General features: G+C 39.7%; 1 protein-coding gene across 21 annotated transcripts in view; it reads left to right on the forward strand.

The window, feature by feature from the left end:
• RUFY3 (RUN and FYVE domain containing 3) overlaps positions 1–22939 on the forward strand; it is a 104853-nt gene extending 81914 nt beyond the window's left edge. For 6 of the 21 annotated variants that reach the window (XM_011531750.3, XM_005265656.4, XM_047449825.1 and 3 more), the window contains 8 exons: positions 3126–3293; positions 3815–3912; positions 8105–8224; positions 9115–9214; positions 14461–14525; positions 17276–17303; positions 18668–18736; positions 20836–22939. In XM_011531750.3, the coding sequence (XP_011530052.1) occupies positions 3126–3293; positions 3815–3912; positions 8105–8224; positions 9115–9214; positions 14461–14525; positions 17276–17303; positions 18668–18736; positions 20836–20979 (792 nt within the window). In that variant the 3' untranslated portion in view covers positions 20980–22939. Of the gene's footprint in view, positions 1–3125; positions 3294–3814; positions 4218–5544; positions 7878–8084; positions 8225–9114; positions 9215–10982; positions 14196–14460; positions 14526–17275; positions 17305–18667; positions 18739–20835 lie in introns of those variants that run through there. The other 15 variants (XM_011531755.4, NM_001291994.2, NM_014961.5 and 12 more) reach the window with 9 other exon arrangements.

The following is a 23850-nucleotide window of genomic DNA, read 5'->3' on the forward strand; positions in this document are numbered from 1 at the left end:
AAAAAAATCAGCCGGGCATGGTGGCATGCACCTGTAATCCCAGCTACTTGGGAGGCTGACCAGGAGAATTGCTTGAACCTGGGAAGCGGAGGCTGCAGTGAGCCAAGATTGTATCACTGCACTCCATCCTAGGCAACAGAGCCAGACTCCGTCTCAAAAAATAAAAAATAAATTAATTAAAAATCAGTCTAGCAAAAGATCCAGCAATCCCACTACTGGGGATATATCCAAAGGAAATGAAATCAGTATGTCAGAGAGAATCTGTACTCCTATGTTTATTGCAGCACTATTCACAGTAGCCAAGATAGGGAATCAACCTAAGTGTTCATCAACACTTGAATGGATAAAGAAAGCATGGTATATATACACAATGGGATGCTATTCAGCGATAAAAAGGAATGAAATCCTGTCATTTGTGGCAACATGGGTGAACCTGGAGGACATTATGTGAAGTGTAGTAAGCCAAACACAGAAAGAGAAATGCCATATGATAACACTCATACGTGGAATCTAAAACGTTGTTCTCATAAAAGTAGAGAGTAAGGTGGGGTTACCAGAGGGAGAGGAGGCAGGGGATAGTAAGAGATTGGTCAACAGGTACAAAGCTATAGTTAGATAGGAGGAATAAGTTCTGGTCCTCTGTTGCATAGTGTGGGGTGACTAGAGTTAACAATAATACACATTTTAATATAGTTAGAAGAAAGGTTTTTTTTTTTCTTTTTTTTTATTGATGCATAATAGATATACATAGCTCTGGGGTTCATATGATAATTTAATATACTCATGTAGTAAAGACCAAATCAGTGTTCTTGGTATACCCATCACCTTAAATATTTGTCTTTTCTTTATGCTGGAAAAAAAAGAGGCTTTTGAATGTTCTCATCACAAATGATAAATGTTTAAGATGATAGATACATTCATTTCTCTGATTTGGTCATTACACAATTTTTATATTATCAAAACATCATGTTCTATACCATAAATTACTATGTGTCAGTCATACTTTTTTTAAAAAGAATTTATAATAAGGGATACTATTCCTGTACTAGATTTTATCCAGGTGCTAGTGTTATTATATTAATAACCCCTGGTATTCACATACTAACTCTTCCTGGAGTTTAGATAGTATAACAAACACAAGGACCTCCCCAGAATGTCTTTAAGAATAAGGAGGAGCCTGAAAATAAGGGGTGACTTAACTTGTACTAAAAAATTATTACAGGCCAAGCGCCATGGCTCACACCTGTAATTCCAGCACTTTGGGAGGATCGCTTGAGCTTAGGAGTTTGAGCCCAGCCTGGGCAACATAGGGACACCCTATCTCTACAAAAATTACAAAATTAACCATGCTTGATAGTACATGCCTGTATTCCCAGCTACTTGGGAAGCTGAGGAGGGAGATCACCTGAGCCCAAGGAGGTTAAGGCTGCAGTGAGCCAAGATCACACTGCACTCCAGCCTGGGTGACAAAGTGAGACCCTGTCTCAGAAAAAAAAAAAAAAAAAAAATATATATATATATATATATATATATAAAAACAAATTGACAGTATATAACATAATTTTAGATTTATTTATTTGTTTTTTTTTTTTTTTGAGATGGAGTCTTGCTCTGCCACCCAGGCTGAAGTGCAGTGGTGTAGTCTCAGCTCACTGCAACCTCCGCCTCCCAGGTTCAAGAGATTCTCCTGCCTCAGCCTCCTGAATGGCTGGAATTACAGGCGCCTGCCACCACACCCAGCTAATTTTTGTATTTTAGTAGAGATGGGGTTTCACCATGTTGGCCAGGCTGGTCTCAAACTCCTGACCTTGTAATTGTGATCCGCCTGCCTCAGACTCCCAAAGTGCTGGGATTACAGGTGTGAGCCATCACACCCGGCCAGAATTTCAGATTTTTTGAAAACAAAGCGATATTATTTTGACATCCTTAAAATAGTTAGCATTTGCCTTCTATGTATTTGTGAATGAGATCTCAAAATATAATACTTTTCATAAGAAAGGTCGCAGAAATAATATATGTCAGCATTTTAAGAAGGGGTATGATTCGTTTTCTATAATGCTAATCAAGTAAAATGAGAATCTCAGTGAAGTGGCACATAATAAAAATCTTAAAATTTTTCATATCCTTTTATCACAGTAAGACAAATGTTTGTTAAGAAGGAAAGAAACTAAGAAAGTATTTGAGGTCCTAGGTGAGCCCAAGGCACAAGGCAGATGCAGAAGATCCTCAGGTCTTTGTATCTTCGATCACCCACATAATGTTGCAGTAATAATGGTTGAAACAAAAAGAGGTTTCATGTTAAGTGAACTAAAAATTCTGTTAGCGGCCGAGTGTGGTGGCTCACACCTGTAATCCCAGCACTTTGGGAGGCTGAGGCGGGCAGATCACGAGGTCAGGAATTCACACCAGCCTGGTCAACATGGTGAAACCCCGTCTCTACTAAACATACAAAAAATTAGCCAGGCATGGTGGCATGCACCCGTAGTCCCAGCTACTCAGGAGGCTGAGGCAGGAGAATCGCTTGAACCCGGGAGGTGGAGGTTGCAGTGAGCCAAGACTGAGCCCCTGCACTCCAGCCTGAGCGACAGAGCGAGACTCTGTCTCAAAAAAAAAAAAAAAATCTGTTCGCCTCGTAACCATACTAGTCATCATCCTCAGTAATTGCGATGTTACCCCAGGGACCCAGATGGTCCTCTGGGTTCCCTGGGCTCTTGAATATATCAACAACATTCACATTTAGGAGGACTGCAACTGCTTCATTTTGTGCTGACTGCTGTAACCCTGTAGGTATATTTCTATAATAAGATATGACCATCAGTTGTCGTAATATCTACTGAAGTGTCTCAAATATGTATATATTTTAGATGTATTAAATAACACTATCTTTGGCTTAGCAGGTTTTTCAGATTTGTACATTATTGGGCAAATGTTATTGTATATCCTAATTATTATTGTTAATTATTAATTAATTATTGTTAATGTCTCTGAAAATGAATGGTAGCTTAAGCTATTTTGCCAGAATATTCAGACCTGAGAGTTTTGGTGTACTTTTTCCTGTGAAATATTATGGTTTGTACTTAGTTGAAGGAACAGAGTGTAAGCAATTTACTTACCTTTGGGGGCAGGATGTTGAGAAAGAACTGGAGATGCAGATCAGCATGAGGCAGGAGATGGAATTGGCTATGAAGATGCTGGAGAAGGATGTCTGTGAGAAGCAGGATGCCCTGGTATCTCTTCGGCAGCAGCTGGATGACCTCAGAGCTCTCAAGCATGAACTTGCCTTTAAGCTGCAGGTAGGGGAAATATGAGGAATAGACTCACTGGCTCTCTAAAATCCTGGGGCTTCCCTCCTCCCATCTGATCCTCCAGAATCACACTTTAATTACAAGAGGAAAGAATCACATCTCATTTTGATGCTAGCTGCCAGTAAACTACTTTCAGAATCAGACAACCATGGGATCCTGTATTGCTGTTCTAGAAAACCATGGCCACTTTTCACATTATAGTAGAGGATGAGGGTCTTTTTTATCCTATAGGGTAATTTCTACTCTGCAGTCTACCGTGCCAGCTAAGTTATATATTCTATTAGCTTTTACACTGGAATGTGATACATTGATGAACTATTACTGTGATCACACTGCATATAACAATACTAACTTTAGATAAATTGCTTTTTTTTCCATTTCAGGATTAACTGATATTGAAATATATGAACATTTCTGTTTTCCCACTTACCATTAGATTCAAAAGGCATGTGTGGTTGTATTTTAGGATTTATGTTATACAGGTTGTTTATCGTTATTTTCCATAACAGAGTTCAGACTTAGGAGTAAAACAGAAAAGTGAACTAAACAGTCGCTTGGAAGAGAAGACTAATCAGATGGCTGCTACCATTAAACAACTTGAACAAAGGTAAAAGTCCTGTTTCTTTAATGAAACACTTTGGATTGTCAGTGCTGAAGTGAAAAGAATGTGCTGTACATTCGGCAAATAGAAAATACATGAAATTCTTCCAAATTAGCATCAGACATTCTGGTAGAAAAAAGCCAGTTGAATGTTATGTGTGTTTTCTAAGGTATGACTGAAATGTTTTTAGGAAATGTCAATCACTTGACTAGCCTTTAAAAAAAAAAAAGAAAGGTCAGCCTTTTATGACTGTTTTGAACATCAGAACTCTTAATCCATGTCAGAGTCATGTGTTAGAGGAAGGATACTTAAAAGCATGGAAGGACTCTTAAATGTATGTATGTAATTCTGTGATTTTATTGTTCATCACTGAAGTCTTTGAATACTTGGATGCTAGGGGATATAGAGGCACTGAGAGATAGGTGTCCTCCAAGGATCTATTCTGGATCTTTCTCTCCCTTCTTTAACCCTTTTCTCTTATCTCCCTTTTCTTTCTCCTGGGTAGTTCTGTAGCTTCCACTGTCACCTCCAGTGTGTTTTCCCAGCTCTTACCTTCATCTGGAGACCAGTCTTGAGTTTTCATCCTTTGGGCAGCTATCTTCCACCAGTATCTACAATTCAGTCTGCCCAAAGCACATCTTCTTCCTATGCTACTCTCTTTCTGTGCTTATGTGAAACCACCATTTTCTCTCTGGCAACTTAGCAGCCAAGAGAAATGGCTGAGTCTTCAAGGATGAATGTGACGTGGTACCCAAGGTCATTTGATGTTTCTACCCTTAACACCTGTTTGTCACCCTTCTTGCACTTGAGCAAAACTAAACTGCTGGTCCCTGTACTTCCCATTTTTCCCATTTATTTCTTTCCCAATAGTTCCACCAATTAGAAATGTCCTAATTCTTCCCACTCCCTTATTCGTCAGATACATTTTTAAGTTTAGGCTCAAATGCCACCTCCCCAGAGTTTCCTCTGATACCTCTTTGCAGCTAGAAATGATCTGTCTTTCTGGGAACTCCCATAGCTTCATACTCATATCTATCTATACTGCTTATGGCACTTCTCACTGTCTACTGTACCTTTTAACTCTTTATATATGTCTCCTCCGATGCGAGTGTAAGCTCCCTGAGATTAGTTAACGAATCTTTTAAGTTCCCGTATTAGATCTGTCGCAGTGCCTTGAATATACAAGCATTCATTCAGTAGATATATGAATGAATGGATTAATGGGTGATTTCTTATATTCAGATGATTCTTAACCAGTAAGGGTCCTGAACAGCAGTGCATATTAATGTTAACTCAAAACTTAATGGCAAATTTATAAATAAACCTGAAACCTCTTACATAGCCAAATACAAATGTATCAGTCTACCTAGGAAAGATGGTTAGGTACTTGCTCATAAACAGTTATATGTTTATGATTTAACAAAATGATTTTACTGTTCATAAATTGTGCTTTTGAAATGAAATGTATCAAATTTCTTTTCAATGATGTTTTGACTTGGAATTTAAAGCAAACAGAAAGAGAATAATGACTTATCTCTTTGAGTATTAAGCTGACTTATTCTCTTGCTATTTTTGTGTTTCCTGTTTATCCATTTTCTCATTCTCCTTTCACTTCATTGTCATTTTTATTTTATTTAGTGAAAAGGATTTGGTGAAACAGGCAAAGACCTTAAATAGTGCAGCAAATAAACTGATCCCAAAACATCATTAGGCATTTTTAAGTTGGTCACGTCGCAAGTCCGATATCACAACTTAATTGTAAAAGGAAGAAATCTGAAAGTTACTACATTTAAGCTCTGATTCTATATAAAATGTCACCAAAAAGTTGACTTTGAATTTGTTGGACTTTTAAAAAACCAGTTGGAAATATAGGTTGGGTTTTTTTCTTATTGTTTTCTCCCCAGGGTTAGAAAAATTGGTATAAGTTCCTAATTAAAAGCTGAATAAACTTTGAGAAATTATTTCTGAGTTGACCAATAAATAAAAATACCACTTTCTTTAAAAAAGCCTAGGGAATTGAAGCTCTGTACATATACTAATGATGCCTTTACAACCCAGTCCTTGATAATACCAGATTCTCGGTGCATTGTTCATGTCTGTATCTGCAAGCCTGTTCTGCCATTGCAGTGTGATGAACCTAGAGGTAACTACCATGTGAACTTGAACTCTTCTAAAATAGTTCTGTGTCTCTTAGACCATGACCCCTTTTCACTTTTGTTATATAGGTTTAATCCCCAAGCCAAGGATAGTACTTAGTATTTCACTACACTTCTATTCTCAGTAACCAAGATTGCTTGCAACTTTTTTTGCCTTGGTGACTTTTGAAAAAAAAAGAAAAGAAAAAGCAGCATCCTTATATTTCTTTAAAATACATAGAAATAAAGTTAGTAATTAGGTAACCTATGATAACATAATAATGTGGACGCCTGGGGAAACCCTCCTCATGTTTGTCATCTTCTACCTCTGCCGTTTTCCTGCAATTCCGCTTCCTACTTAGGCAGTTCAGAGAGAACAATTCTAATAAAAACACTCCTCTCCTATTAACAAAAAATGATGCAGTACCCATTTTTCGTATCCTGCTTTTCTTATATTGGAGTAAAAAGGACAGGGTATAGACATGAATGATGATATTCTGCCTGGCCTGTCATTTCTTACCTGGAAACATTTACTTAAGAGTTTCTGTTACTTTTTGTTCAGATGGGGATTTGCTAAAGGTTCTGGGAAGCTAATAATTGAATTATTAGAAAAACATTTCAGAATAGGAAGTAAATGATAAACTTATATTCTTTATTATTATTTAGTACAAAAATAGATTCCCAGTAGATATCCACAAGCAATATTAGCAGGGCTTCTGTTTCTAAGTGACCACAGACTAACCCTTTCTAGGCTTTAACATTGTAAATAATCCTATAAACAGTTTGATTTTTTAAGATGATTTTTGATTTGAAGAGACAGGCTTTACATAAGCCTTCATTCCTTCAAAAGGTCCTGACAAAATACTTGGGTTTTTTTCTCTTTTTTTCATTCTGGTATGCTTTGCAGCATTTCAGCTGCTTTGGTGGGGACACAGATAACCCCTTCGCTTCCAGCTCTTAAAATTCTTTATCTTTTTCTTGGCAAAACCAGAATTAAGAGTGTAAGATAGATTCCATGTGTGCTTATATAGGTCCCTGCACAGATTGGACTTGAACCAAAATTAAGTCCAAAGAACATATGTTTAGACCAACTTCATGGAAGTGGAAGATCCTGTGCTCTTGAACTTATTTTAATTCTTATAATTTGCACCTATATAAACAAAGCTCCTACTGTATTCTTCTCTTCATCAACCTTTTGTGGTGATGGGTTGCCTTTTCTACGAGCATTTGGAAGGAGTGATCAAATACCGAAATTGAACTTTCTAAAACCTACACATAGCATGCGTTTAAATTCTATTATATAAAGCCCCAAGTGCTTTACCTTCTAAAACATGCTTCTCTATAGGTGCAAAGTTATAAGATATGTAGAAGAAAACATCCATCAGAATCTTCTGGAGAATATGGTCAGAGTCTTAAACAGGCCCAGTGCTGAGTTCTTTGTCCACTTAGTCACACATCTTTTGTGGGAATGGGAAAGGAAGGAGACAGCCAAACTCTGACAAAGGCTTTTCCTTATAGAATAACCCAAAGCCTAGGTGAGGGTTGATATATAATGTCCCATGATTTAATATATGTGGTTTGGGGGAAAGGACAAGAAAAAACTATAATTCCACATATAAGAAGGTAGTTGCCCATTTACAAGTTCCAGTTATGTGTGTAAAACAGAAAAATTAAGTACCAAACCTATTAGGAAATTTTTTTAAAAAGTGGATTTAACTTAAATTACTGTGTACTTGAGGTTGGCTTTGGATATGGATTTTCTAAAAAGTGATGTTTTATTGTTTATCATCTAATGGCTGTAAACTGTAGTACTAGAATAAAAAAAATGGAAAATCAGCTTTTCCTCTGCCTGGTTCACCTTCATCTTACTTTTCTTTAGAATTTGTTTCTTCTCCATCTTTTCCCCCCCATAATTTCTTCACCTGTGTCCTGCAAAGTTTTTTTCCTCTCTCTGTCTCTCTGTGCATTCTTCCTTGGGTTATTTTATTTTGTGTTGTGAACTTGGTCTTCTTCCCCACCATGGCTTTTGTTTTTTATCACAAGTTCATGTGGCTCACATCCAGATTGCGCCAGGCTGAGCGAAGCCGCCAATCTGCTGAGTTGGACAACCGGCTCTTCAAACAGGACTTTGGAGACAAGATCAACAGTCTGCAGCTGGAAGTCGAGGAGCTCACCAGGCAGCGGTGAAGAGGGGGTAGCTTGAGCTGACAGGGTGGTCATGGGTAATTCTTAGGGTAGACAGCAAGAAAAGGGGTCTCATGACTTCCAGCCAGGTTGGCTCTGTCTTTGCAATGTCCTTTCTCTGGAATTGGAATTCAGAAAGCTTCACGTACTTCAACATTCCCCAAATCCGATCAACATGCTTTGTGATCAAAGAATTAGGAAATTAGAGCCCAAGATCCCAGATAAATAGTAATTATTAGCCAAAATAACACTAATAATAATATGTAATATTTCCTGAATTCTTACTGTGTGCCAGATACTTTAGGCACTTCACATGCAAACTCTCCTAATATCTTCATATCAACCCTATTAGTGATATTATTGCCTCCACTTTCAGATTAAAGTAGAGCTTAAGGCTGGGCGCAGTGGTTCATGCCTGTAATCCCAGCACTTTGGGAGGCCAAGGCAGGTGTATCACCTGAGGTCAGGAGTTCCAGACCAGCCTGGCCAAGATGGTGAAACCCCATCTCTACTAAAAATACAAAAATTTGCCAGACATAGTGGTGGGTGCCAGTAATCCCAGCTACTCGGGAGGCTGAGGCAGGAGAATTGCTTGAACCTAGGAAATGGAGGTTACGGTGACCTGAGATCATGCCACTGCACTCCAGCCTGGCAACAGAACAAGACTCCATCTCAAAAAAAGGTAGAGATTAGACAGGTTAAATGTGTCCAGATTCACACAGTTAAGCTTAGAAGTAGCAACATTATCATTTAAAAACCTGTCTCTCTGACAGCAAGCCCTTAACCATTCGTAATTACTGCACTTTAAGACAAGGGGTTGGCATTCTTTAGAGAATATGTCTGTATAGAATTCCAATTTTTCATCCTTTTCCTCTCCAACTTACCTCAGGAACCAGCTTGAGTTAGAACTAAAACAGGAAAAAGAAAGAAGATTACAAAACGACAGGAGCATCCCAGGAAGGGGTTCCCAGAAGTCAGAATCCAAGATGGTAATATTTGCTATTCCCTTGTTCTTTTACTTAATTTCAGTTTAAATTTTAGAGGCTACCTTGATAGTCCTGTCAGTTTTCCTTTACAGATCACATACTTAGTGGCTGTGTCCTCAAGTATGTAGATAGCAAACTAGTAATTATGTGAACAAATGAAAGCTTGATTCTGAGTCTGCCTCTAGGATACTTTCTCCAACTTGATTTCATTTGGAAAGGGGGATTTTAATAATCACAGTGACCCTATTTCCCTTTTAATAATTTTTTAAGTAAGATTATTTTGGTGTCTTAACAAAAATATATGTTTCTTGGATTTCTGCTAAATAATAATTTTAATAAAATAGTATAATAATCCCTCTCCAACCCTGAATTCCCCTTTAACAGAATTTTCCTCAATGTGGATTTGCTTCTGTATACCTTTTTCAAATCATGAGGATTTCATTTTGAGTATCCTTAAGGAACTTCTCGTGGGAATAATTAGGGAATTAGGCTTGAGGAAAGGAAGGTAATACAGAATAAAGAGCAAAAGTAGAAATTTCTACATAATAATCTTAGAAGGAGACCCCTCCAGCACCTCCAGTGATGAAGGAGCTACAATTGGGTAAGATCATCTCTGGGGCCCAGGAAATAATGAAATCAGAAAAACATAAAATAACTTTTTCTGTAAAAGACAGTGAAAAAATTGCCTTCTGTGTGTACATATTATACAAGGCGACTTCAAAAAGATCATGGGAAATGGAATTAAAAGGTAAAGATATATAAACTTTATTTCTCAACCTAAGTTCCATCAAGTTCAAGAGACTTTAGTAAGTGATGATACTAGTCATGTAGGCCATCCCTGAAGAACTGAGGGTCCTAGGAATTTAATCATATCAATACAATCTTTTTTACATTATTAACTGAAGAAAAATTGGTGCACTTTAATGATGTTTTAAGATTAGGAAACAAAAAGAAATCAGAGGCACCAAATCAGGACTGTAAAGTGGATGCCTAATGATTTCCCATCATAACTCTCACAGAATTGCCATTGTCTGATGAGAGGAATGAGTTAGGAGCATATTTCTGGTGGAATAGCACTCTCTGTTGAAGCTTTCCTGGGCATTTTTGTGCTAAAACTTTGGCTAACTTTCTCAAAACATTCATCACAAGTATTAGCCAGGTGTGGTGGCACATGCCTCTAGTCTCTAGTCCCAGCTACTTGGGAGGCTGAGGCATGAGAATCACTTGAACCTGGGAGGTAGAGGTTGCAGTGAGCCAAGATCACACCACTGCACTCCAGCCTGGGTGACAGAGCAACACTCTGTCCCCAAAAATAAAAAAAATTAAAAACACTCTCACAATAAGCAGATGTTGGCATTCTCTGGCCTTCCAGAAAGTCAACAAGCAAAATGCCTTCAGCATCCCTAAAAACTGTTGCCATGACCTTTGCTTTTGACCCGTCTGCTTTTGCTTTGATTGCACCACTTCCACCTCTTCATAGCCATTGCTTTGATTGTGCTTTGTCTTCAGGATTGTACTATGAAGTTGTTACATCTCCTGTTACAATTTCTCAAACAAATGCTTCAGGTTCTTGATCCCACTTGTTTATAATTTCCATTGAAAGCTATACTTTTGTCTGCAGCTGATACGGGCACAACAGTTTTGGCACCCATCAAGTAGAAAGTTTACTCAACTTTAATTTTTCAACCAGAATTGTATAAGCCTAACCAATTGAGATATCTGTGGTGTTGGCTATTGTTTCTACTGTTAATTGTTGGTCCTCTTCAATTAGAGCATGAACAAGATCCTCACAAATTGATGTGGATAGTCTGCTACTGCAGGCTTCATCTTCAACATCATCTGGCCCCTTCTTAAAGTGAGTTATCCTTTTGTAAACTGCCCACTTCTTTGGGGACAATCCTAAAGCATTGTCCCCAAAAGCTTTTTGTAAAGCATCAATAATTTCACAATTCTTCCATCCATGCTTCACCACCAATTTGATGTTTGTTCTTGCTTCAATTTTAGCAGAATTCATATTACTCTGATAGGGGCTCTTTTTTCTTTTCTTTTCTTTTCTTTTTTTTTTTTTTGAAACAGAGTCTCATTCTCACCTAGAACTGAGTACAGTGGCACAATCATGCCTCACTGCAGCCTCGATTTCCCAGGCTCAGGTGATCCTCCTGCCTCAGCCTCCTGAGTAGCTGGGACTGTAGGCACACACCACAAAACTCAGCTAATTTTTGTATTTTTTTGGTAGAGTCAGGGTTTTGCCATGTTGTCCAGGCTGGTCTTCAACTCCTGGGCTCAAGCGATATGCCTGCCTCAGCCTCCCAAAGTGCTAGGATGACAGGCATGAGCCACCGTGCCCAGCCCGGGGTTCTTTTCAAACTGATGTCTTATCCTTTTTAGTGACTCAAACCAAATCCTGATTAGATATATTAAAATAAGTTAATACAAGTTTATTTTGGTGCGAAATATTTTTGAAGTCCATGCACAGTCTTTTCGTAATACGCGTTTTCCATGAACTTTTTGAATACCTCTAGTATATAACAAAGCAGGAAGAGTTCATAAACTATTTAAAATTTCTAGAGAGTGAGCTGCTAATTTACTGGCAAATAGAAAACAATGGTATGTGGAAATTTATTAAATAGTACCACTACTAATAATTTAAAGTGTACAAAGAACCACTCTAGGCCAGGCACGGTGGCTCACACCTGTAATCCCAGCACTTTGGGAGGCCAAGGTGGGCAGATCATGAGGTCAAGAGTTCAAGACCAGCCTGGACAACATGGTGAAACCCTGTCTCTACTAAAAATACAAAAATAAGCCGGGCATGGTGGTAGTCTCCTATAATCCCAGCTACTCGGGAGGCTGAGGCAGGAGAATTGGTTGAACCCGGGAGGCGGAGGTTGCAGTGAGCCAAGACTGAGCCACTGCACTCCAGCCTGGGTGACAGATCAAGACTCCATCTCAAAAAAATAAAAAAATAATAAAAAAAAACACTCTGTGTAGCATGCTATCTTTATTATTTTAGTTTAGTGAACATAAAATCTAAAAGGCTTACAAAAGTTTACTTAAAATCTTGGCCTACCTCACCCTATTTTTCCAATGAGGTTTTAAGTTTTTCAGTCTTCAGTTGTTGCCTGCAGTGGCATTTCCAGGAGGATAAGTATTGACCTCTCTTCCTTGATTCTTGAGTGGTGTAAGAACACACATCTCAGCTGGGTGGCTCACACCTGTAATCCTAACACTTTGGGAGGCCGTTGGCATGAAGATTGCTTGATCCCAGGAGTAAGAGACTAGCCTGGGCAACATAGGAAGACCTCATCTCTACAAAAAAATTTAAAAATTATCTCGGTGTGGTGGCTCGTGCCTATAGTCCCAGCTGCTCAGGAGGCTGAGGTAGGAGGATCACTTGAGCCCAGGAGGTTGAGGCTGCAGTGAGCTGTGATCATGCCACTGCACTCCAGCCTGGGCAATAGCATGAGACCTTGTCTCAAAAAACAAACAAAAAGAAAACACATTCCACTTTTGGATGCACATGGGCAGCAGTCGAAGGCGGGCAGCAGTCGAAGGCAAGCAGCAGTGGTTGTGTGTGCCTCAGAAAAAAATGTAGCCCTTAGAACTGCCCAGCACCTTGCCAGGCACAGTGGCTCATGCCTGAACTTTGTGAGGCCAAGGCGGGTGGATTGCCTGAGCCCAGGAGTTTGAGACAAGCCTGGGCAACATGGTGAAACCCCATCTCTACTAAAATACAAAAAAGTATCTGGGCCTTGCTGCGTGCACCTATAATCCCAGCTACTCCTGATGCTGAGGCCAGAGAATCGCTTGAAACCAGGAGGCAGAGGTTGCATGAAACCAGGAGGCAGAGGTTGCAGCGAGCCAAGATCGTACCACAGCACTCCAGCCTGGGTGCCAGAGTGAGAGTCTGTCTCCAAAACAAACAAACAAAATTTGCCCAGGCAGGGCTTAAGAGTATTGGTAGAAATGCAGTTTGAGGCTGGGCGTGGTGGCTTACGCCTGTAATCCCAGCACTTTGGGAGGCCAAGGTGGGCAGACTACCTGGGTCGGGAGTTCAAGACCATCCTGGCCAACATGGTGAAACCCTGTCTCTACTAAAATACAAAAATTAGCCATCAATGGTGGGCGCCTGTAATCCCAGCTACTCAGGGGCTGAGGCAGGAGACTCGCTTGAAACCAGGAGGCAGAGGCTGCAGTGAGCCGAGATCATGCCACTGCACTCCAGCCTGGGCGACAGAGCAAGACTCCGTCTCAAAAAAAAAAAAAAAAAGAGAAAAGAAAAAAGAAATGCAGTTTGAAACTTTACATCTGTCCTGCCAAGTAGAAAATTCCTTGAGTTGAACAGGCTATAGAGATGGTGGCACTGGGCCGGGTGCGATGGCTCACGCCTGTACTCCCAGCACTTTGGGAGGCCGAGACGGGTGGATAATTTGAGGTCAGGACTTCGAGACCAGCCTGGCCAACGTGGTGAAACCCCATCTCTACTAAAAATACAAAAATTAGCTGGGCATGGTGGCGTGTGCCTGTAATCCCAGCTACTCTGGAGGCTGAGGCACAAGAATCACTTGAATCCAAGTGGATCACTTAAGGTGAAGAGTTCGAGACCAGCCTGGCCAACATGGTGAAACCTCGTCTCTAGTAAAAATACAAAAATAAGCCAGGCACGGTGATGCACGCCTATAATCCCAGCTACTCAGGAGGCTGAGACACAAGAATCGCTTGAACCCGGGAGGCAGAGGCTGCAGTGAGACGAGATGGCACCAGTGCACTCCAGCCTGGGCGACAGAGCGAGACTCTGTCTCCAAAAAGAAAGAAAAATATTGTGGCACTGGGGCATCAACTTGATTGAACGTCCAGAGGATTATAGTCTGCTGTATATGGCCATCCTTGGTTTTACCAGTTTTTCAGAGCTCAGTCTGGGGAAAAGAAAAAAAAAATTATACTTCCCCTAAGAAGTAACTGATATCTGGAGCCAACTTTGCAAGTAAGTAGAATACATTCTGAATTTTATTTGAATCTCAAGAATTAAAATATTACTTTGAAAATCATTTGTCACAAACTGTCAGAATAATTAAGAAACTACTTAGAGCAAAGAATGAGGAAACATAGCTTGAAAGTTAGATCCCTTCCCTAATAAAAAAAGCTACTTAGCTTTATACCCAAACTAAGGCATTGCAGAAGAAAATATTTGCAATATCATTATTTAGCATTCTGAATAATTAATAAATTGGGCTGTTTTCTTTTGGCAGGATGGGAAGCACAAAATGCAAGAGGAAAATGTTAAACTAAAAAAGCCCCTGGAAGAAAGCCACAGGTGTTTGTTAATCAAGTATTAACTAAGATGTAAAGTTATTCTGGGGTGGTGGGAAGGAGGGAGTTCTTTATATACATTGGCATTGACACCGACCAGACACTGACTTATAATATTAATATGCCAGGAAGACATTTGAAGTGGAAGTTAATAATAAAACGTATAACATGTATTAAACCAAACCCATTAGGCCATTTCAGAGGAAAGAAGGATGATCAGGCTGTCCTCTCTTCCCTGATTAATTCCCAAGCTCAGATTATCACTTAAGAGGTTATTTCCCACCTTTACTGAATTGGTATCCCAGGAAAATAAAGTATAAGTCATACATAGCATTTCTTAACTTCTTAAATATATTTGAGTATGACTTGTTTCTACCTCTGTGCTAAATTTCAAATAAGTGGCTGGGCGCAGTGGCTCACGCCTGTAATCCCAGTACTTTGGGAGGCCGAGGCAGGTGGATCACCTGAGATTAGAAGTTCGAGACCAGCCTGCCAACATGGTGAAACCCGGTCTCTACTAACGATACAAAATTAGTCGGGTCTGGTGGTACCTGCCTGTAATCCCAACTACTTGGGAGGCCGAGGCAGGAGAATCACTTGAACTCAGGAGGCAGAGGTTGCAGTGAGCCAAGATAGCGCCACTGCACTCCAGCCTGGGCAATACAGTGAGACTCTGTCTCAAATAAAAAAAAAAGTTCAAATAAGTACTCTGATTTCTCTTATGTCTCATCTCTCATTTTTCCTTTATCTTGAGAATCTCAAACAGCTTAACTTCATTCCTTTATCCTAACTCTGTCTGATTTGCTCATGATGAAGAGCATAGGATAGTTTCAAGGAAGCTGACTTTTTATAGTTATTTTAGCAGGTTAGAAATATAATTAAATATTACATAGTGCCACTGCATTAAAAAGTGAAGGAGGTCCAGTTACATGACATTCTGGAAAAGACAAAACTATGGAGACAAAAAAAAAAAAAAAAAATCAGTGGTTGCCAGTGGTAAGAGAAGGAAGGAACGAACCGGTGGAGCACAGAGGATTTTTAGGGCAGTGGACTACTCTGTATGATACTATGATGGTGGATACATGTCATTATACATTTGACCACACTATAGACTAGACACCACCAAGAGTGAACCTTAATGTAAACTATAGACTCTGGGTGATGATGTTGTGTCAGTGTAGGCTCATCAGTTGTAACAAATGTACCACTCTGGTGCAGCATGTTGACAAAGAGGCCAGGGATGGGGCAGGAAGCATGTGGGAAGTCTCTGTACTTTCTACTCAATTTGACTGTGAACCTAACTGCTCTAAACATAAAGGTCTACTTTAAAAGGTGGAGGAAGAGGTTAGTGATGAGGAATGATACCACAGTGAGGTTTTGAGAGAACTATACAGCTGTCCCTAGCCAGGCTTCGTCACCTTAAGAATGAGGTAGTGTGTCATCTGGAGCAAAAGTAGCTGCTGGAGAAGAGAAAACACACAGTCCAATAGTAAGCTAATTATGCAGGTGCTTGGCCTAAATGTCCCTTTCTGGCCTTGCTCCCAAAGAGCATGGTTTGATCCAGAGCTAACTTTAAACTATCACCCATCTCACATTACAGAATGGCATAAGCAAAGAGAAGGGAACTAGAAGGGCCATAAAATTAACCTGGGCTTCCAGGTGCCTTTCAGGGTCAGCCTCGTTCCAAACTAAAATCAAATCATTTACTTGAGCAACCAGGAGTGTCTTAAATGCCAACTTCTGATTTAGGTCCTGAGAATATGGAACAGTGCTTCCTTATATCTGAATTGTGCTCTGCAACTTAGAATTTGTTTCACATTTATTATCTCCTTATGATTCAGTATTCCTTACAAAAGTACCTAATGCAACTTTACAGATGAGAAAACTGAGAAGCAGAGAGGCTGGGTGACTTATCCAAGTTGCCTCTGTTTATCATGTCTACTGTTTTTAAGTCCTTTGGCTCTGCACTACCTATTAGCAACTTCCAGGACTTATTCTGGCCATAGCTGCAATCGTTAGACATACCAGGCTTCCTGGGATTATGATGGCAAGGAACATCGGAAAACCTGGTCACCCCATGGTGTATGTCTGGTGGTCACACTGCTACTCAAGTGAAAAGAATAAGAACCATTGCAATCTGTAGTGCATTTTCCCTGTAACCGAGAGCGGGCTTTGCTTCACCTCTCATTTAGGCTCTAGTCCATGCTGGAACATCGGAGTTAGCTCAGCTTAGTCCCTCATGAAGAAATATTTCAACCTGAATGGGTTTTCTGGTGACAGTCTCATTCATTTCCCCTTCTTGGGTTAATTTGCTAAAGCTCACATCTTAAGAATATTTGGGACTGATACACAACATGTGATAATGGATAATGGATAGATTTCCATAATATCAAATAGAAAAAAAGCTACTAAAATATATGGCCAGTGAACCATTGGAGTTTTACACATTGGGAAACATAAATGCTAACTATTTTGATAGCAAAAAGGAATGTAAAATATAACTTCAAATCTATTTTTAAATGGGAACCCTTATATAATAAGTCAAGGGTCAGATTCTAGTGATTCATTTTAAGAAGCAAAGTTTCCTCTCCTTGGAGGTCAAAATTAATAATTATGTTGTTCTAAGTAATATAAAAGACCTACAGTATTTCTTGTTTGAAAAAAATGTTTGTATTCTGAGCTTTTTATTGAAATGATATAAATGAAAATACATGAAGTTCCTATTTGTCACAATTTTTTACTTCTCCATTGTAGGCTGCAACCCCACCCTATGGATGAACAGGTAACAGAGCCTCCTGTTTCAAAACATCTTGTATGAATTATGAAGTTGGTTGTACCGTGCCTAGCCAGCAAATAAGGTAGCATGGGCGGAAGATGAGTGAATACAGTGTGCCATCCTTCTAACAATACCCTGAACAAATATGTATTGCCTGAAGCTCACACAGGAAGTAGCACAGCTTTGAGCAGTTTACTAAGTAAACATCAGTTCTCACCTATTTTAAATTATCCCTGACATAAGATCTAGGAGAGCTCACTTTATGTCCCTTTCCTCTAGTTTTTCCTTACATAAAATGGAGAGAAAAAAGATGTTTTGATCACTTAGAAATAAGCTAACATAAATGATTGTAAAACACTTTGTTAATCTAATAGTATATGATAAGCCCATGAGAAAGACAGTGAATGCTACTGTGTCTGAGTCACCCTGTCATTTACCTCTTAGGTTATAAAATAAAATAAGTCCTACTGCTTTCCTTTTTTTTTTTTTAAATGGAGATAAGGTCTTACTCACATTGCCCAAGCTGGGGTGCAGTGGACGATCTCAGCTCACTGAAGCCTCAACTTCCCGAGCTTAGGCAGTCCTCCCACTTCTGCCTCCCGAGTAGCTAGGGCTGCAGAGATTAGGTTTCACCGTGTTGCCCAGGCTGGTCTCAAACTCCTGGGCTCAAGTGATCTTCCCGCCTTGGCCTCCCAAAGTGCTGGGATTACAGGTGTGAGCTTCCATGCCCTATGCTTGCCATTCTTTTTTTCCTTTTTTTTTTGAGACAGAGTCTCACTCTGTCACCCAGGGTGGAGTGTTGTGGCACAATCTCAGCTCACTGCAACCTCCGCCTCCCAGGTTCAAGTGATTCCCCTGCCTCAGCCTCCCGAGTAGCTGGGATTACAGGCGCCCACCACCATGTCCAACTTTTTTTTTTTTTAATATATATATTTTTGGTAGAGATGGAGTTTTGCCATGTTGGCCAGGCTGGTCTTGAACTCCTGACCTCAAGTGATCTACCTGCCTTGGCCTCCCAAAGTGCTGGCATTACAGGCGTGAGCCACCAGGCCCAGTCCCCAGTGCTTTCCATTCTTGATGGTAGAGTGAACAAGAGGAATGGGATAGTGTTAAAACTTTTTACTCTATACTTGCATGTGTTTGAATTTTCTTTTTAGAAATCATGTTATTATAAAAATTAAGAGCTGGAAGCATAATGATAGGATTATCCGAGTTGTATTATGGTGGTAGGACTACCTATTTATAATTGGTTTAGTTTCCAGATAGTCTATAGTGTGATTATATTAATATTGTAGGTAAAAAATGCATATTCTGAAAGTACTAATATTTCTGGCACTAAGAAAAACTAACCAGCTCCCTGTGTGGTTTAGGATCAGCTGCTGCTCTCTGAAAAGCCACAGTTGTGTCAGCTATGCCAGGAAGACGGCAGCCTAACAAAGGTAACTGTGATGAGAAACGGACAGGCTTTTCATAGGGATGTCTACAGCAGCCCCCAGTCCCTCCCCAGGAGTAACAGGGACTTTCCCGCATAGAGTGCAGAGTGCATGCAGAGTGCTGGGAGTGGGGTGAAAAGCAAAAGGGGCAAGCATTTACTGGGTACCTGTTTTTTCAGTCATAATAATTCATGTCAGAAAATTCCCATTAAAATAAACATAAATAGCCAGGCGCGGTGACTCACGCCTGTAATCCCAGCATTTTGGGAGGCCGAGGCGGGCCGATCACAAGGTCAGGAGTTCAAGACCAGCCTGATCAACATGGTAAAACCCCGTCTGTACTAAAAATACAAAAAAAAAAAAAAAAAAAAATAGCCGGGCGTGGTGGCCTGTAATCCCAGCTACTCAGGTTGCTGAGGCAGGAGAATCGCTTGAACCCGGGAGGCGGAGGTTGCAGTGAGCCAAGATCACACCATTGCACTCCAGCCTGGGCAACAGAGCGAGACTCTGTCTAAAAATAAGTAAATAAATAAACAAACAAAAATAATTATGTAATAAAGCAAATAAGCAGATAGAAATGTATAAGTAAATATTGAGTGCCTGCTGTGTAGAATGTGCTGGAGAAAGAGTAATGAACAAAGTAGACCAAGTCTCTGTTCTTGTCAAGCTTATGTCCTTCATAGCTGTCATTTTATAGATGAAGAACGTTGAACATCTAATGCTAACTACATTTCCCAAAATTAAGTCATAAGTGATGAAGCCCAGCTTCCAACCTAGCTTTCGCTCCAAAGTCCACAGTCCTTTCAGCACTTTATCCTGCTCAGAACAGGATATGAGCTCTCCCTGCTAGACCACTTGTTTTCCACCCGATCCTCAAGGGTGCCTGCCTGAGCATCTTCCCAGTTTGTTATCCTAGAGTAGGCAGAGTTAAGGAAGTATTCAGAAAGAATGAGTGCCCTTGATAGCTGGAACTGTGTCTTGTTCACAGAATCCCCCAGCATCTAATATGGTACCCAATCCATAGTAGATCCTCAAGAAAAGTTATGTACAAATGAGTGTATGAAACACATGCTTGGAAGAGATACAGGAAACAGGCTCAAATTCTGGATCACAACCTGCATAGCACCATCTGTGATCATGCAAAATTTTAATAAATTATAATATGACCTAGTCTTAAATTCACAGAATCAGATAACAAATGAACTGCCCTTATAGAACTGGAAGTTACAATTATAGAAATATGTTACAAAGTAGAACAAACTGTTAATTCTGGCTTTCCTCTTCTAAGCCATGCAATATTAGCTTCTGTATGTCAGACAAAAATTCTTCTTAGGCTTTCAGATAAAAGCAACCCCCTACTCCTCTCAACCTCAGGAAGATGAATTATTTGGGATGAAGGTAGCACTTCATGGGAGAAATTATTCTTTACAGCTTTTTATATAGGACCCTTGGAGCTTTGTGTATACCACCCTATCACAGCCTTACTGCTGACATTGCTATAGTGACTTCTTGCTCTCTGTGCTTGACCATTAAAGATGCAAAACATTTAGGAAAACAAAATAATTTCCCTATGAACAAGATGCAGGAAGCTGTGCTCCTGCTGCATTGATAACCCAGTGGATGTGCTTACAGAGCACCAGAGACCACAGGAAAGCATAAAGCACATCAGTGTATTTATTAGGAATTATACTTTCAGTTCATACTCTGGACATTTTTAAATCTTAGCCTGTTCACTCAATCCATTGCTCTTTCACTGCCTTATTTGGAGTATGCGCAGGTACTTGCAAACTAATTTTAAAACTAACCTACCTCAAAGTGAGTATGGGGAACAGATGTGTGAAGGATATTCTAAAGATAAGTGACTTGTATGTTACCTGTTTTTATTTTTAACTCTATGGCACTGCTTCTTTTCATTTAAATCTAAAAACTAGACGGTGAACTTTTTTGTAGATTGGGCCTGTGTTCAGATACTACCTGGCACATAGTAAACATTCAGTCATTGTTTGATTAGGCATTGAGCATTTGCCATATTTGGCTTTTTATATCCCATGAATCCTTATGCCTTGCTCATCTTCTATTCCCCGCCTAACCTCCTCTTCTCATAGAATGTGTGTAAGAACTGCAGCGGAACCTTCTGTGATGCCTGTTCAACAAATGAACTGCCTCTTCCTTCAAGTATCAAGCTTGAGCGAGTTTGCAATCCCTGTCACAAGCATCTGATGAAGCAATATTCTACCAGCCCATCATAAGACTGGAGGCCAAGACCTGGACCAAAACGTTTATGCAGGCTCCTCTGTACCTGTGTTTTAGCTGTCAGGATCTCATAGAGCCCAGTTCTTAGAGTCAACTAAAGAGTTGATAGGAATTTACTAGGTCCAGGGAGAAAAGGCAGTGGTTGGGGTTACTGGAAATTTTGCTCATTTTCTCTAATGACTGTATGAATAAAAGTGAACTTACTTGAGCCTTTCTCTTCTAAATCTAAACAACCTGATATTGAAGGTTTGCTTTATAGCATATCTTTGGAAAGGCAACTCATTTTTATGATTAGTGATACTGGGGTGGATTTAATAGGAGAGAGAATCCAGGCAGATAAGAATAAAAAGGAAAATGATCATCTCCTTCTATAGCATTTGCAGATTCAAGGGGGAGAGGTAGATGCTGAGATCAAAATGACAGTTGTTACTTATTTTTCCAGGTGCTGTTAGTATAAACATTGTTTCCTCTTCACCCCTGCTAACTACCTCTTTAAAGTATTTCTACCAAACTGTGAACCCAATCTCAGGGAAAAGAAATTAAAAAGTAATATAAATTCTGCATATATTAAAAACAATATTGTAATATGTTATAATTTCAGGACCAGAATTTTCTGGTCTTTACCTACAAGGGTTTTCATTATCAAAAAAAAGAACATTTGTTTTTCTACTTTATGACTTCAAAGTAAATAACTGCCCTTTTCAGAATCTCCTTCCACAAAACAAGCCAACTCTTCCCCATTCCCTCCATCTTCCTTTCCAAGTCATAATGGAAATTGTAAGGAGTTTTAAAAATAGGGTTTGGCTTTTGCAAATAGAAGATATTGATTAAAGCAAAGTCAAATATAGAGTAAAATAAGTTTAATTTGTTTTCTTAAGACAGGGTCTTGCTCTGTTGCACAAGCTGGAGGGCAGTAGTGCAATCACAGCTCACTGAATCCCTGTTCTCCCGGGCCTCAAGCAATCTTCCCACCTTAGCCTCCCAAGTAGCTGGGACTGGCTTTTTTTTTTTTTTTTTGGCCGGGGAGGGGGTCTCATTGGTTGCTCAGCCTGGTCTCAAACTCCTGGGCTTAAGCAGTCCTCCCACCTTGACTTCCACAGTGCCGAGATTACAGGCATGAGCCACCACACCTGGCCAAGTTTAATTTGTTCATGGCTGAGAACAGTTAGCTCGGAATACTTACATTGTTTTTTGAATAAGGAATTCCTTATTCTGAGTGAGTCACGAATGAGAGCTGATAGATGCTTTCTTGAAAAGGGCAATACAGTCATCCCTTGGTATCCATGGGGGATTGGTTCCAGGAACCCAACTTGATATCAGAATCCATGGGTGCTCAAGTCCCATTATAGAGAATGGGTTATATGGTATTTGCATATAACCTACATACATCCTCCTGTGTACTTTAAATCATCTGAAGATGATTACTTATACCTAATAAAATACCTACACATCACTTCATTTGCATGGATTCAACATAGTGCTTGGTGTTCAGTAAATTCAAGTTTTGCTTTTTTGGAACTTTGTGGAATTTTTCTTTTTCTGAATATTTTTGATTGGCAGTTGGTTGAAGCCATGGATGCAGAACCCATGGATATGGAGGGCTGACTGTACTTACTTACATATCTATCTATCTTTGAGTAACAAACTCTTTGGGGGAAAAGAGGGAAGTGTATTGAGCAAGAGAAGGCAAAAAACATTACATAATATTTTGATTCTGTTACGTGTGTCTATAGATTGTTTCATTCTAATCAAGACCTAAGAAGGTATGATTCTGTGACTGATTTAGAATTCTGGGGTGGAAATATCCTGGAACCATGTTTTTTAATAAATTCTGTCTCTTGGAAAGAGTTAACAACAGCCTGGGAAAGAGTTGTTATTCCAAAAGTCAGCCTGTTACTTGGTGAAGCTGAAGTTTAAGAGTTCTGGGGAAAAATAAAATCTAGTAATTCCAGCCTAGTTTGTTGATTGATGATTGTCTTTTTTTTTACCCTAAATAACAACATTTCTTTTTTGAATCTTCACTCTCATTTTTTGGCCACCTACATGAGCTAGCACTCTTTTAGGTGCTATACATGATGTGGGGCACAAAAATGGACTACAGGAGTGTTGCCCTAAATTAGAAAGTTATTTTATAACTAATTTTAAATTAATTTGAAAAGATCTTTGTAACACAATATAAGGAGGAACAGTCACTTGATACTTTACTTAGAATTACACATAAATATTAGCCTTAAAAAAATTTAGGCTGGGCGCGGTGGCTCACATCTGTAATCCCAGCACTTTGGGAGGCCAAGGCAGGCAGATCACGTGAGGTCAGGAGTTCGAGACCAACCCGGCCAATGTGGTGAAGCCCCATCTCCACTAAAATAAATTAACTAACTAACTAAATAAATAAGTAAATGCAAAAATTAGCCAGGTGTGGTGGTGTGCACCTGTAATCCCAGCTACTGGGGAGGCTGAAACAGGAGAATCATTTGAACCCAGGACGGAGGTTGCAGTGAGCCGAGATCACACCACTGCACTTCTGCCTGGGCAACAGAGTGAGATTCCATCTCAAAAAAAAAAAAAAAATTTACAACGTCCCAAAGATCTTTAGTTACAGTGCAGCCTCCCATAAAAGCAAGGAGACCAAGTCATGAATACCTTGACTTAATGGTATGCCTATCTGTCTTCCTTTACAATTGTGCTTTTCACCATTTACAATAGTATAAACTGAACCAAAGAGGCAAAGACTTGTACATTGAAAACTTCAAAATGTTGCCATACAAAATGAAGACATAAAAGTATGTTTTTCACCAGGCACGGTGGCCCGCACCTGTAATCCCAGCACTTTGGGAGGCCAAGAAAAAAAAGTATCATATTTTCAT

This window comes from Homo sapiens, chromosome 4, assembly GCF_000001405.40.
Source record: "Homo sapiens chromosome 4, GRCh38.p14 Primary Assembly".
Classification (NCBI taxonomy): Eukaryota; Metazoa; Chordata; class Mammalia; order Primates; family Hominidae; genus Homo; species Homo sapiens.